The sequence below is a fragment of the Homo sapiens genome, chromosome 5, assembly GCF_000001405.40.
Source record: "Homo sapiens chromosome 5, GRCh38.p14 Primary Assembly".
Classification (NCBI taxonomy): Eukaryota; Metazoa; Chordata; class Mammalia; order Primates; family Hominidae; genus Homo; species Homo sapiens.
The window spans coordinates 131,101,253-131,116,352 of record NC_000005.10 but is presented as its reverse complement, the minus strand read 5'-3'; the positions used below and the strand labels follow the sequence as shown (position 1 = coordinate 131,116,352).

Sequence of the window (15,100 nt, the reverse complement as noted above, 5' to 3'; positions counted from 1 at the left end):
GTCTCTGGCTCAGAAGAGAAGGGGGAGCTTTTGGGAAAACCAGAAAAAGAGAGAGGGAGCTCAACTTCATCAATACATACCCTTTTACACCATTACACTTTTCTCCAAAAAAATTGCACCATTCTTCCTTAGTTGTCCATGTCATCTTTTCTTTTTAACTGCATTAATTTCTACAGATGAATATTTATTTGGGTGAGGAAGTATTATCATTAAAAATATGAAAAATCTGGAGAGTTAAAAGACAGTCATTTCCAGACAGGGTGAGTGAGTCCTTTTGCTTATTCTTCCTGAGTCACATGGAACGCTGCTCTCAGGATAATCTATTCAGCTACATCGTATTTACTTATTTAGATTATATAAAAAATTTGTGAGTTAATATACATTATAAAAAGTCAAACAATTTGGGTATATATGAGTAAAAATGTAATCCAGTTATGTATCTTCTTAATTTCTTTCCCTTCCATAGATCTAAGCACACACATGTTTTTCACTTAATACTGTGTTTTGAAGATACTGATTAGTTAGAATTTAAATAAATTGTTGCATGAGGCCGGGCATGGTGGCTCATGCCTGTAATCCCAGCACTTTCGGAGGCCAAGGCGAGCAGATCACCTGAGGTCAGGAGTTCGAGACCAGCCTTGCCAACATGGCAAAACCCCATTTCTACTAAAAATACAAAAATTAATCAGGAGTGGTTGCACGCACCTGTAATCCCAGCTACTTGGGAGGCTGAGGGAGGAGAATTGCTTGAACCCGGGAGGTGGAGGTTGCCGTGAGCCTAGATTGTGCCACTGCACTCCAGCCTGGGCAACAGAGCGAGACTCTGTCTCAAAAAAAAAATTGTTGCATGATACCACATTAGGTGGAAATAAAAAATTATAAACAAAAGTTCACCTTTGGTTAAAATGAGAGTAAAGAGAACCATAGTTTTCAAGTCTCAATGGTATATAATAAGAAATCTTGAAGAAAATAAAAGGATGAAGCTGTTTATCAAGTTAATTTCCAAAAGGAAGGAAATGAAGGAAGATAAAGTATGCTTATATTTGGTGATCCTAAGAACATAATGGACAAGATTTGCATCCAAAAATTCTTTAAGGTTAGTAGTTTAATTTAGTTTTTTCATTTTTCATTTTTTGAGATGGGACCTCACCCTGTTGCCCAAACTGCAGTGCAGGGTACAATCACCACTCACCGCAGCTTTAACCTCTTAGACTCAAACGATTTTCCTGCCTCAGCCTCCTTAGTAGCTAGGACCAGACATGTGCACCACCATGCCTGGCTAATTTTTTAAAACTATTATTTTAAAAAGTAGACCTTGTAGAGATGAGGTCTCACTATGTTGCCCTAGCTGGTCTCAAATTCCCCGGCTCAAGTGATCCTCCCACTTAGTACTCCTAAAGTGCTGAGATTATAGGCATGAGTCACCACACCTGGCCTGTTTCTTTGAAATTTCAATGTGTGATAGCAGCTATTAAAGGTTATAACCTATAAACTTAAGTAAATACAGAGTAGACTTTTTGTAGGAAATTGTAATTTGCTCCATGGAATTGTATTTGTTCAGGAGATTAAAAATTTTCACTAACTTTGTGATAATTTACCCATTAATATGATCTCAGTCATCTTATAAATAATACATTGATATATACATTATGTAAATTATCTTCCCAGGCAATGGAAAATATCTAGACTCAGAATTGTAGATAGCCTTTTCTTCTTGCCAGTTGAACCAAGTTTAAAAATTTTGTGTCTCTAAAATATTTATTTTATTTTTTAATTTTAAAATTATTTTTAAAAAATAATTTCAACTTTTAGATTTAGGAGGTACATATGCAGGTTTGTTACATATATTTATTTTTCAAAACAAGACACAAAATTTCATTCTTTAACAATAGCATGAAAGTACCATAATCTATTTAATCACTCTCCTACTGATGAGCCTTTGGGTTGATTTCTATATTTAACTATTACAACATCCTGCAACTACCATCTTTATACACATTTTTGTAATTATGTGTAGATATGTGCAAATAGGAGAGCTATCTAGAATTGTAATTTCTATATCAAAGCATATGTATATTTTACCTTTTCAAAGAGAAACTGCCCTCTTGAAAGGCTGTGTATTTCCATGGGTATATGAGAAATCAGTTGTCCAGTACCATTACCAATAATGCATTTTAAAAAATTATAGCTTTCTTGAAATATAATTCACATACCATAAAATCCACCTGCTTAAAGTATACAATTCATTGGTCTTTAGTATGTTCACAGAGATGTGCCATCATTGCCACACTCGAATTTTAGAATACTTTCTTTACTCCAAAAAGAAACCATGTACCCCTTAGCAGTCACTCTACTTTCTCCCAACTGCTAGTCTCCTAGCACTAAGCAATACTAATCTACTTTCTGTCTCTACAGGGTTGCCTACTTTGGACATTTCACATAAGCAGAATCATACAGCATAAGGTCTTTTGTTTCCAGCTTCTTTCACTTAGCATACATTTTCAAGGTTCATCCATGTTGTAGCTTATATCAGTACTTCATTCCTTTTTAGGACTGAATAATATTCCATTGAAAGGATATATCATATTTTGTTTATCTATTCATCAGTTAATGGACATCTGGGTTGTTCCCACTTTTTGGCTGCTATGAAAATGCTGCTATGAATATTTGTGGATAAGTTTTTTTGTGGATATATGTTTCTATTTCTCTAGGAGTGGAATTGTAGTACATAGTAACTCTATATAAATTTTTTGAGAAACTGTCAAATTTTCCATAGTGGCTATACCATTTTACATTCTCATCAGCAAGATATGAGGGTTTCAATTTCTCTGTGTCCTCACGAACACTTGTTATTGTCTGTCTTCTCAGTTCCAGCCATTCTAGTGGGTGTGAGGTGGTATCTCATTGTGATTTTTCTTTCTTTCTTTTTTTTTTTTTTTTTTGAGATGGAGTCTCACTCTGTCACCTAGGCTGGAGTGCAGTAGCAGTGATCTTGCTAACTGCAACCTCCGCCCCCCAGGCTCAGGTGATCCTCCCACCTCAGCCTCCCAAGTAGCTGGGACCACAGGTGTGCACCACCATGCCCGGCTTTTTTGTTTTGTTTTGTTTTTGCATATTTAGTAGAGACAGGGCCTCACCATATTGCCCAGGCTGGTCTCGAACTCCTGAGCTCAAGAGATCAGCCTGCTGCAGCCTCCTAAAGTGCTGGGATTACAGGCGTGAGCCACCGTGCCTGGCCAAGGGCTTCCTATTGACTAATTTGTATTCCATTTTCCCCAGGTTGAACAGATTTTCATATATTAGCTATTAACAGTGCTTCTAATGTGTGTTGCCTGGTTCTGTATTTTGCCAAGTTTTGTTTGATCCTTTCTTTTTAAAAAATCTAGCTAACATTTGATTAAAACATTCTGTTCTGGCTTCCTTCCTTGCTCATATACCTTAGTAAGGATCTGGAAGGCTAGGTTCAGATTTTTCAGACTCATAGGGGATTTCTGTCAGAATGTGGCTCTGCAGGGAGGGCTGGCTCCCAATGCAGCTCTAAGTCCACGGGCCACCCCCTTTTTCCTTCTGTTCCAGTGGCAGCTCTGCCCAGCACCTCATAGCGAGGGGGCTCGTGCACAGCGTGCGGACACTGCAACTCTCTTGACCATGCTTCTTCCATCTCTCTACCAGACACCTCCCTGCTTAGGCGCCCTGCACGCTAGGCAGCGCAGGTACCTGTAGAAGTGGCCGACTCTGGGTGGGCGTGTCCCACGTCCCTGTGATTTCCTAGCTCCAGGCACAGGCAGAGGGGTGAGCAGGAGCAGGTTCAGAGCAGGACCTCAAGGTGTGGGGCCCGGGGGAGGCGCCTATCTTGCAGGGGTCTAATGATTAAACATTTTATGACAACAACAAGCTTTACTAAAAGTAAATGCTATTACTATTAGCTTTTAAATGCGAAAACCCAGCGGGGCGCGGTGGTCAGGCCTGTAATCTTAGCACTTTGGGAAGCCGAGGTGGGTGGATCGCTTGAGGCCAAGGGGTTGGAGACCAGCCTGGGCAACATAATGAGAACCCATCTCCAAAAAAAAAATAAAAAATTAGCCAGACGCGGTGGCTCCCGTAATCCCAGCACTCTGGGAGGCTGAGGCGTGTGGGTCACTTGAGGTCAGGAGTTCGAGAGCAACCTGGCAAATATGGCGAAATCTCGTCTCTGCTAAAAATACAAAAATTAGCTGGGCGTGGTGGCAGGTGCCTGCAATCTCTACTCGGGAGGCTGAGGCGAGAGGATTGCTTGAGCACAGGTGGTTGAGGCTGCAGTGGGTCGAGATCCTGCCACTGCACTCCAGCATGGGTAACAGAGTAAGACCCAGTATGGGAAAGAAAAAAAAAAAGCTTTTGCAAATTTATTTATTATTGCTGGGCGTGGTGGCTGATGCCTGTAATCCCAGCACTTTGGGATGCCGAGGCGGGCGGATCACCTGGGGTTGGGAGTTTGAGACCAACCTCACCAACATGGAGAAATCCTGTCTGTACTAAAAATACAAAATTAGCCGGGCATGGTGGCACATGCCTGTAATCTCAGCTACTAGGGAGGCTGAGGCAGGAGAACCGCTTGAAGCTGGGAGGTGGAGGTTGTGGTGAGCCCAGATTGTGCCATTGCACTCCAGCCTGGCAACAACAGCAAAACTCTGTCTCAAAAAAAAAATTATTTATTATTTTGTAAGCCATAATGTAAATAGAAAAAAAATAAGTAAATGAATGGGAAAACCCATCACAATTTCCATTCATTTGACTTGCCAATTAACTTTTTGTAACCCACTTGTAAGTTTGAAACTGTGTTCTATCAAGTCGGTGTTAACTTGATCCTAGTCCTTTTATTTGTTCATTCCTGGTAGTAGTTGTAAACTGCCATGAGCACAGTCAGTTTGGGGGTAGGAATTTTATTTTTGAAAATATAAAGTATCTTGATTTCCAGGAGCTTACTGAAGAAATAAAAATTTAGCCTGGAGTTTTCAAAACGTTTTCACAAGATTGAAGGTTACAAATCTAAATGATGGTTGGTGTTATAGCTCCATAGTGACAAAAGAAACAAAACCAAACAAAAACAAAAACACTAGACAAAACAAAAACCAAAGCAAAAAAAAAAAACTAAACAAAACAAAATCCAAAAACAAATAAATAAGCAAACAAATAGGAACCAGGCAGAAAGTAGATGCCTTGTGAAGACCAAGCCATAGGAACTCCTTGGGAACTCTCATATGGATGTCTAGATTTTAGAAACAGGATTTAATTATGTTTGATCATGGGGGAAAATATATAAACTTCGGGAAAGTAGAATCATTTCAAGTTCATTGTGGGCCTTCAGATAAGACTTTAATGCTAATCAACTTATTTTAAAGTGAGCCTGCTTAATATATAATGGAATAAATAATTGTCATGCTTTTTTTTCATAATTTTGTCAGCATCTTTTTCTTTCAATATTAAAAACAGTAGGAAGAAAACATGTAATTGTCAGATGCAGTTGCAATACTTTCTGTTTATTCAGTTTTGATAGACATTTCTTAATCAAGGTTAGTCTGGTAAATGGTTTCTCTTCAGGGCTGTGAACCAAACATCTTTGTGTAAGTGAAATAAATGCTGCACTGGGAGGTAGGATACTTGGACTTGGATTCTGACTCTCACTTGAGAAGTGGTCTTGGGCTTATGTATTTACCTAAAGGTCTTTGAGGTGTCCTGTATACCATGAGGTTTCCTGTCTCCCTCAGAGTGTTGTGTATGAAGATTAAAAGAATTAATATTTGCCTGGTGCCTGATATATAGCAATCACTCAATCAATGTTAATTATCACTGTTATCCCTGTGTTTCACTTTTAAACTTGTAACCATGTTTTATACACCACCGAGTGACATTTCACGTGGAAGAAATAGAAAATAAGTATATAGATACATTGAATTCAACTTTAAAAGTAGATGAATTTAAAACTGACATTTGCAAATCACGTTCCAAGTCATTTATATCTTATCGTTTTGCATCTAGTGACACTATACTCAGAAAATATAAATATTTGGCATGGATTTCGTATTAGAAGAGAAGCCTCTGGATTTTATTTGTACTTAGCCTCTTTCTCTAACTAATGGTATCTGTATTAGTTGATTCTGAATTCTGTGCATCTTCTCATGCACTTCTCAGTATTCCCACAGAGGGGCAGAGCAGCACTATTTATTAAATTAACACTAATCCTGCAGATTCTTCACTGGATTCTGCAGTCTAATATGAAACGCTTTGTTTGAAGTTGTGCTTGTTAAATTTACAAGTCTTTCCTGAAAAGCTTCCATGCCCTCTGACCACTTTGTGTGTGCATGTGTGTATGTGTGTGTGTGTTCAACATAATCAGAAGGACAATTGAATGTTTACTCTGAATGTTTATATAACTGCCTTTCATTTTGTCTGATGGATTCCTCTGAGGAAGGTGAGAGAATCCTAGCCTTGTGCTTGGGACAACTGCTGGTTTTGCTGTTGTGACTCAGAAGTATCCTTCTGGGAAACCAGGAACTTGATGCTGATGCTGGTCTGTTCACTCCTTAAATGTAGAAGTGAAATTACAAAGAGATGTATACAAGGTTTACACATGTCCCTTACACAGGGATCAAGACATCTTGTTGAAACTACCCCTATAGTCTGACTTCTAGACTAATCTATAGGTAGGTCTCTGGGAGGACACTGGTAAACTAAAAAAATGCAAAAATATGTATAATAAATGAGGATACGTGGGCAAAATGCCCAAATGACTAGTTTTAAGCTTACTCACTTACTATTTGCTTTATTTGAAAGATAACATTTACGGCCAGGTGTGGTGGCTCACGCCTGTAATCCCAGCACTTTGGGAGGCAGAGGCGGGCAAATCACGAGGTTAGGAGATCGAGACCATCCTAGCCAACATGGTGAAACCCCATCTCTACTAAAAATACAAAAATTAGCCAGGTGTGGTAGTGCGCGCCTGTAGTCCCAGCTACTTGGGAGGCTTAGGCAGGAGAATTGCTTGAACCCGGGTGGCGGAGGTTGCAGTGAGCCAAGACTGCACCACTGCACTCCAGCCTGGGCGACAGAGCGAGACTCCGTCTCATAAAAAAAAAAAAGATAGCATTTACCTTGCTACCTTATTCCATAAAGCCTAGGACCTTCACTGACACCATTATTTTTCTATCACTTGATTAATGTCAAAAAAAGCTTTGTAGCTCTTAATTTGAGCAAGATATAGTTTTTGTTTTTTTGTTTTTTGAGGGAAGGCATTTGTATGTTTAAAGTCTTGCTTGGCAGGCCAGGCATGGTGGCTCACACCTGTAATGCCATCACTTTGGGAGACCAAGGCAGGCAGATCACTTTTGCCTGGCCAACATGGTGAAATGCTATCTTTATTAAAAATACAAAAGTTAGGTTGGCGTGGTCGCGCACCTGTAATCCCAGCTACTGGGGAGGCTGAGGCATGAGAATTGTTTGAACTTGAGAGGTGGAGGTTACAATGAGCCAAGACGGTGCCACTGCATTTCAGCCTGGGTGACAGAGTGAGACTCTGTCTAAAAATAAAAATAAAATAAAATAAAATAAAATAAAATTCTTGCTTGGCAGACCTGTGTACAAATCAAAAAGTGCTTGTTAAATATCATTGTATTGGGCTAGGTGTGGTGGCCCATGCCTGTAATCCTGGTGCTTTTGGGGGCTGAGGTGGGATGATTGCTTGAGAGCAGGAGTTTGAGATCAGCCTGGGCAATATGGAAAGACCCCTGTCCCTACAAAAAATAAAAAATAAAATAGTCTGGCATGGTGGCATGTGCCTGTAGTCTCAGCTATTCAGGAGGCTGAGGTGGGAGGACTGCTTGAGCCCAGGAGTTTGAGGCTTCAGTAAAACCATGTACTGAACATTCTGCTAACCTGGAAGATTTCAAACAAGCAAGGAATATAGACTTCACAAATGTGCAGTTTCAGGCCAGGAGCTAAGATATACCGGATGTTGAACAACTATTAGCATCCTAAATTTTTATCATGCAGTGAGGTTTTTCCAGTTCTAAAATTTTGTTTCTATAATTTTGAGGATAAAGAAAAGAATATATAAGCAGATGTTAAATTTTATGGCACAAATCTAAGTACTGCTTGGGAAGATTAACAATGATGATAATGATTAAAAGTTGATATTTTGGTTTCAAAATTTTTGCTAATGATTAATTAGGGTACAAAAGGAAGAATTTTCATCTTTTTCCTTCCATTTTGAGAAATACACAACCCAACCTTTTCCAGTTTCTTTGGGCTTTCTACTATTTCCCAACAGTACTTACATAGGATAAAAACTGAGCATTGTAAACTGTTCTCAATAACTATTTTAGTTATGTTAATTATCTTAAAAGCTAGCTTTCATCTGAATTCAATCAACAAGTATTTTGGGAACCAATTACTATGTGCAAGCCATGGGAAATGCAAAGACAAATAAGAAGAAGTCCTTATTGTTTTACATTACACAGATCGACTTTATTATATTTATTGTGTTCTTTGATGAAAAATACTAGTTGTGGAGTATGCTCAGCCTACTCTTCTCTCTCTTGGGATAACAAAAACATAGGGCATGATTTTCTTGTGTGTCCACATAAAAGAGACACAATATCTGTGACTTCTCAGAAGCCAGAAGCTGTTGTAGGACCATAGTTTCAATATTGGCAGAAACTTCCTCTATACAAATGACTTCCAAATCCACATCCTTAGCTTTGAACACTTCTGAATCCTAGTCATAAATCTCCAACCACTTGGTGGAAATGCACTTGGATCCTCTGTTCACCTCAGCTGAACTTGACCATAAACTGTCATCATTACACCCCTACTCACAAAAAGACTTTTTTTTTTTTTAAAATGGTGAGTACTATCATCGCTGTGTTCACCAAGGGTTGAAACTGATGTTACTGTAGATTCCTCTCTCTTCCTTTTACATCGTGATCAGTCTGTCAGTTCGTACTTCATAACATCTCCCATATTAGACTCTTCCTCTTGACTTCTGAAGTCATCACTCTAAGTTTAAACCCTTATCATCTGTCACTTAGCTTCTCACCCCTAGACTCTCTGTCTTCTAATCTAGCCAGGCATTATTTCCATATTCGTCTTTGAAAGGTGCTACTTAGATCTCTAAAGGCATTTCCAGTTCAAAGATATTATTACGTTTAATATTGTGCAATTCCAGTTGATTTTTTTGTTTAAAAGATTTTAACTGACAAAAAATTGTATATATTTATCATGCACAACATGTTGTTTTGAAATATGTATAATTTGTGGAATGACTGAATTGAGCTAATTAACATATGCATTACCTCACATACTTATCACCTTTTTTTTTTGTGATGAGAACAGTTAAAATATGTTTTAGCAATTTCCAAGACTACAATACTTGTTATTAACTACAGTCACCAAGTTGTACAATAGATTTCGTGAACTTATTCTTCCTATCTAATTGAAATTTTGTATCCTTTGACTAACATCTCCCCACTCCCCTCCTCCCTGCAGCCCCTGGTACACCATCCCACACTGCTTCTATGAGTTCAACTTTTTTAGATTTTACATATAAGTGAGTTCATGCAGTATTTGTTTTTCTGTGCCTGGCTTATTTCACTTAGCATATTGTCCTCCAGGTTCATCCATGTTGTTATAAGTGACATGATTTTCTTCTTTTGTAAGGCTGAATACTATTCAATTGTGTACATATATAGCACATTTTTTAAAATCCATTCATCTGGTAATGGACACAGATTGATTCCATATTTTGGCTGCTGTAAATAATGCTGCAATAAATATGGGAGTACATATATCTCTTCCACATACTGATTTCATTTCTTTGGATATATAGCCAGAAATGGGATTGCTTAATCATGTGGTTAGTTCTATTTTTTATTTTTAATATTTTTGAGAACCTTAGTTCTAATATGTTATAATTCTATTATTCTTCTACTCAAGAACATTAGAACTTCTCTGTTATTTAGAAGATTAAGCCCAAATTGGCATTCAAGGATTTCGACAGTCTGGTTCTAGCACACATTTCCAATGCTGTCTTCCATTACACCCTTATCAGGACCCTCTGCAGTAGGTTTAGCAGTGCATTCATGCCTTAGTACACTTCCATACTTTATTTATCTGTTTTGTTTTTTCTCTGTATCCATGCATTTATCACCTGTCCAAGCTAAGCCCTGGTATCTTTTTTTTTTCTTCAATAAAATCTTCCTTGTCTACTCCATTTGTAGCGATCTCTCTATTGGCTGCACCAACAGCAATGTCTATGCTTCTCTATGGCCTTGCTGCATGTGTGATGTTTATAATTCTCCTATTTAAATGGAGGCTGCCCATTATTTTCTATATCCCTAACCTCATTCAGATAAAGCAGCTCTCAGTAAGTGCCTGCTGACTAGCCAACTGAATTAATGATTTAGTAAATGGAGAATGAATGAAGAGCTGGGACAAGCTGACTTTTGACCACTGAAAACTTTAGGAATGGCATTATGTTCTTCCCAAATGCTTACACTGGACTGTAATCAAGTCAGGAAGAAGAGATCATCTCTCCCTCTGGAAGAAATTCGAGGCTGGGAAAGTTAGTCAGGAAATTTCTGTTGGAGTGCCCAAAGGGTATATGTAGTCCTACATCCTTATGAATCTCAAGTCTCTGAATATGTTGTGAATATTGTAGACATTTGCAGAGAGATAAAAAGATTTCAGGATTTGCTTTCATTGTCTGGAATAAATGGAAAACCAAAGGTTTCCAGTTTTCTTTCCAGACTTTTGGGAAATGCCTCTGCCTTGAAGGCACTAAGCATTCCTCTGCACTGGGTCAAGAGGCTTTGAAAAATATTCACTGACCTGTATTGGATGGTTATCATTAGAACTGTCAGCTGCAGTATGGGATGCCACATTCTTAGAGGTATTCAAAGGCTTGGCATAATTAGGATTACCTTGGGGTTCGGAGCTAAGAGTTTATCTGCCCAGATTGGCACACAAACAAGTCAACAGAATACTTAAAGGGTCTATTAAATAACTTTCTATACGTAATGGAAGTGAGAGGAAAACTGATTTATTCTGTATCCTTTTTTTTTTTTTAAGACGGAGTTTCACTCTTTTTGCCCAGGCAGGAGTGCAGTGGTGCAATCTCAGCTCACTGCAACTTCTGCCTCCTGGGTTCAAGTGATTCTCTGCCTCAGCCTCCCAAGTAGCTGGGATTACAGGCACCTGCCACCATGCCTGGCTAATTTTGTATTTTTAGTAGAGACGGTGTTTCACCATGTTGGCCAGGCTGATCTCAAACTCCTGACTTTAGGTGATCTACCCGCCTTGGCCTCCCAAAGTGCTGGGAATATAGGCATGAGCCACCACACCCGGCCAACTCTGTATCCTCTTTATTGACAATATGTACCATGTAGGCTTGTACATTTGTATGGAGTAAGCATGATGAAATATTAAGAAGTTATTCATTTTATTTTAAGATTGTTTTATTGTGATGTGGTTAAAAAGTGAAATGGAGAATTTGTCTGAAGACCTTCATTCTACTACTAATCAGTTAGTTGTGTACATGGTTAAGATATTTCCCCTTGGCCAAATTTTCATCACCATCCACTGCTTAGGATCTATGTGATTGTTGGCCAAACAAGTTGACTCTGTAGAAGCTCTAATTACACAACTTTCTATAATTGGTTTTCTATACTGCAGTAGAAAGAAGACTTCCTTTTCCCCTTTGCACGCTTTTTTTTTTTTTGTGAGTCAGAGGAATGATAAAAGCCTTTTCCTGACAATGTGATTGTGGTTTAGTGTGAGGCTGGGCTTTCACAATAACCAAAGAATATATACACTATTTCTGTGTTCTCAGGTAGGTATTCTGAGCCTGAGAATATTCCTCTGTTCTTTTTCTTAGGAGGTTCACTGAAGATCAATGTTTCTGAGACTTGCTTCTATTTCTTCTTTAATGCTCAAGCAGAAGTCTTAGGTTTACTCAGTCTTTCCCTCAAAAAACACCCCCTGTAGAACTGTATTACATTTTCCAGTCTTTGAGAATTTCCAGGGCACCATGACTTCTAATGAATCTTTGTTAGTTTTAAACAGATGACTACTTAATATCAGTACCACAATGGTGACAGAGGCACCTCGTTAAGAAATTAGTAACATCAATAAATGATTGATTAAAGATGAAGGTGGGTTACTAAAGATGACCCTTTTGACTAGAAATCACTCATTCCTTTAACAAATGGTTTCTGAATACCTACTTTATGCACTATGGTAGTAACTGGGGATGCACTGGTGAACAAGTTAGGAAGATTCCTTAGATTTGTGGATCTTACGTTTTTTTTGTTGTTTGTTTTTTTTTTTGAGATGGAGTTTTACTCTTGTTGCCCAGGCTGGAGTGCAATGGCACGATCTCGGCTCACTGCAACCTCTGCCTCCCAGGTTCAAGCGATTCTCCGGCCTCAGCCTCCTGAGTAGCTGGGATTACAGGTGTGCACCACTACGCCCAGCTAATTTTTTATTTTTAGTAGAGACAGGGTTTTGCCATGTTGGTCAGGCTGGTCTTGAATTCCTGACCTCAGGTGATCTGTCCACCTCGGCCTCCCAAAGTGCTGGGATTACAGGCATGAGCCACTACGCCTGGCTGGATCTTATGTTCTAATAGGCAAGACAAACAATAGACAAGTAGAAAAGTGAATAAATAACATAATTGCACATTCCACTGTGTTATTAGTGAAATAACCAAGCATTGCAATTGGGCGATCATGGAAGTCTTTTCTGAGGAGGTGACATATTTATGCAGAAACTTGATGGCCATAGGAAAGCTAGATGCATGAAAAGTTAAGGAAGAGCTTCCCAAGAAGATGCATCAGCAAGTATAAAGGCTTAATTTAAGGGTGGAAATGTTGGCATTTTCTAGAAACTGACAGATGAATATGACTAGAGCATAGCGAGCAAAGGGAAAAGTGAAACTAGGTGAGGTGGAGTGATGCGTGGGATCCAAATTATTTAGAGAGAATCTTGAAGGGCAAGATACGAAAATTGTTCATTATGGAATTCTAAGTGGAATGAGACAGGCTGAAGGGCAGTCCATTTTAATCAGGGTAGTAAATTTAATTTTGAAGAATCATTCTGATTGCTGTAAAGAGGTGGGGGTGGAAGAAGGTTAAAAGCAAGGAGGCCAACTAGGATATATATATAAATGATATATATATAGATACATATATGATATATATATCAGATATATATGATATATATCTGATATATATATCATATATATATATACCAATGTCTTCTGTTTTCTCCTAGAGATTCATCTTGTGGATCAGCCTAGGAGGCTGATCTGTAGTATGATTAATTAAACAGGGTTCCTAGGCTCTCTGGCTTCCAGTAGGGTGTGAAGAACACCCATCTGGGGATGGGAGAAAAAGTTTGAGGTTAGGCTGATATTCTCCTGGCTTCTTCACTACAAGGGCTGTTTCCTTCAATTAAGATCCTTGCATCTCTCAAGCTGGCCTTCTCTATTGAACTCTTTCTCCTTTTGGGTTCTAGTACCCTTCTTCCCTCATCTCTTCTGACCAGGTTTGATAACAGCTCTGCTGCTAGGGTTCCTTTAAGCCCTATTTCCCTACACCTGTATGTTTGTTTGAAGATAAACCTTGAAGTTCTAGATCATCCATGTTGGACATATTCTTTCAGCTGAATCACACCCCAGGATTCCTTCTTTCATTTTGTACAGAGCACAACACCATGCACTAGTTACTAATGCCAGGGAGGACACCAACTACATGAAGGATAGCAAAGATCATCACCGTGTCAACCACCAGGAAGAGAAGTCCAACTTGGCATTGGAATCACCAAGGAAAACAACACAGTCAAGCACTGGATGGGACAGTGCTTTTACTCACACAGAGAAGACATTGAGCAAGATCAGCTCCAATAGTATATATTGCTTCCCATGGCTAACAGGTCCCCTGGCAGCTGACAGAGGGCAGTTGCCCTACATACAGCTCTCTTGTGTCACAGTAGAATGACCCCTTTTTCGCCCCTGTGGACTCTGAAACACTGAAAGATGGGGGTATGCTTGAGAGCCATTGACACACATGCTTAAGCAGAGCCAAGGAGCATACACTGAGCTTGAAACAGAGGGGTGGGAAACAGGCTCACTGAAACCTCTGCCTCCCGGGTTCAAGTGATTCTCATGCCTCAGCCTCCTGAGTAGCTGGGATTACAGGGACCCACCACCATGCCAGCTAATTTTTGTATTTTCAGTAGAGACAGGGATGCAGTCCAGTACATTTCAGCCTTTTTTACCCAGCCCCTATTCAAGATGGAGTTGCTCTGGTTTACACACCTCTGACAATTCTAGTGAAAGGGAAAACAAAAAAATAATCATAGCAAAACTGAAATTCAGAAAAAGTACTAGTATAGATTGCAGTTATTTGTAAGAAAAAAAGAAAGGAATAGCTAAAAAGGTTAAAAAAAGGCTTAGGGAGATCTGAGAAAAACATCTTTTTGCAATCTCAGGATATATATTCACACACACACACACACGCACACAATGAAAGTCGTTAGAATCAAAATGAAGTCACTTATGCCAAACCCTAACAAAATGAAGTCAGAAGGCCATAAAGGAGGGGCTCTCACACACACATTCCTATGATGAAAACTATTAGAAAGACTCTCTGAAAATCACAACCTTGCACAAAGGCCACTGCAACTTTATACAACGACTACTTCTGGAAGTGCATCTGCCCAACAACTGTCTAGTCAGCCTTGAACTGATGCCACCCTTGTTATTGATCCCTGTAGCCAAAGATAATTATTTCAAAATAATGTACCTAACCTTCCTCATTTTGCCTTTGAAAACCGTTGCCGTCCTTTGCCTCCTTAGAGGTCTGTGCTCCCTCCATGGTTCACCATGGCATGTGTATTCCTGGATTGCAATTTGTCATTTATTCCTGAATAAGCTAATTTTAGAGCCACTCTCTCTGTTGTTTTATTAGGTTGATAACATATATATACATGTATATCATGAATGAAAAGGATACAGATATTTTACAAAAGCACCAAACTAACCAAAAGAAAACTCTAAACTGTAACA

The 15,100-nt window shown here is 39.0% G+C and overlaps 1 annotated feature.

The window, feature by feature from the left end:
• Positions 3,860–4,360: an enhancer, noted in NCBI's record as "H3K4me1 hESC enhancer chr5:130447686-130448186 (GRCh37/hg19 assembly coordinates)". NCBI's record gives its function as "activates a minimal SCP1, AML or CMV promoter by ChIP-STARR-seq in naive H9 embryonic stem cells {active_cell/tissue: H9 hESC(naive)}" and the evidence as "EXISTENCE:reporter gene assay evidence [ECO:0000049][PMID:30033119]".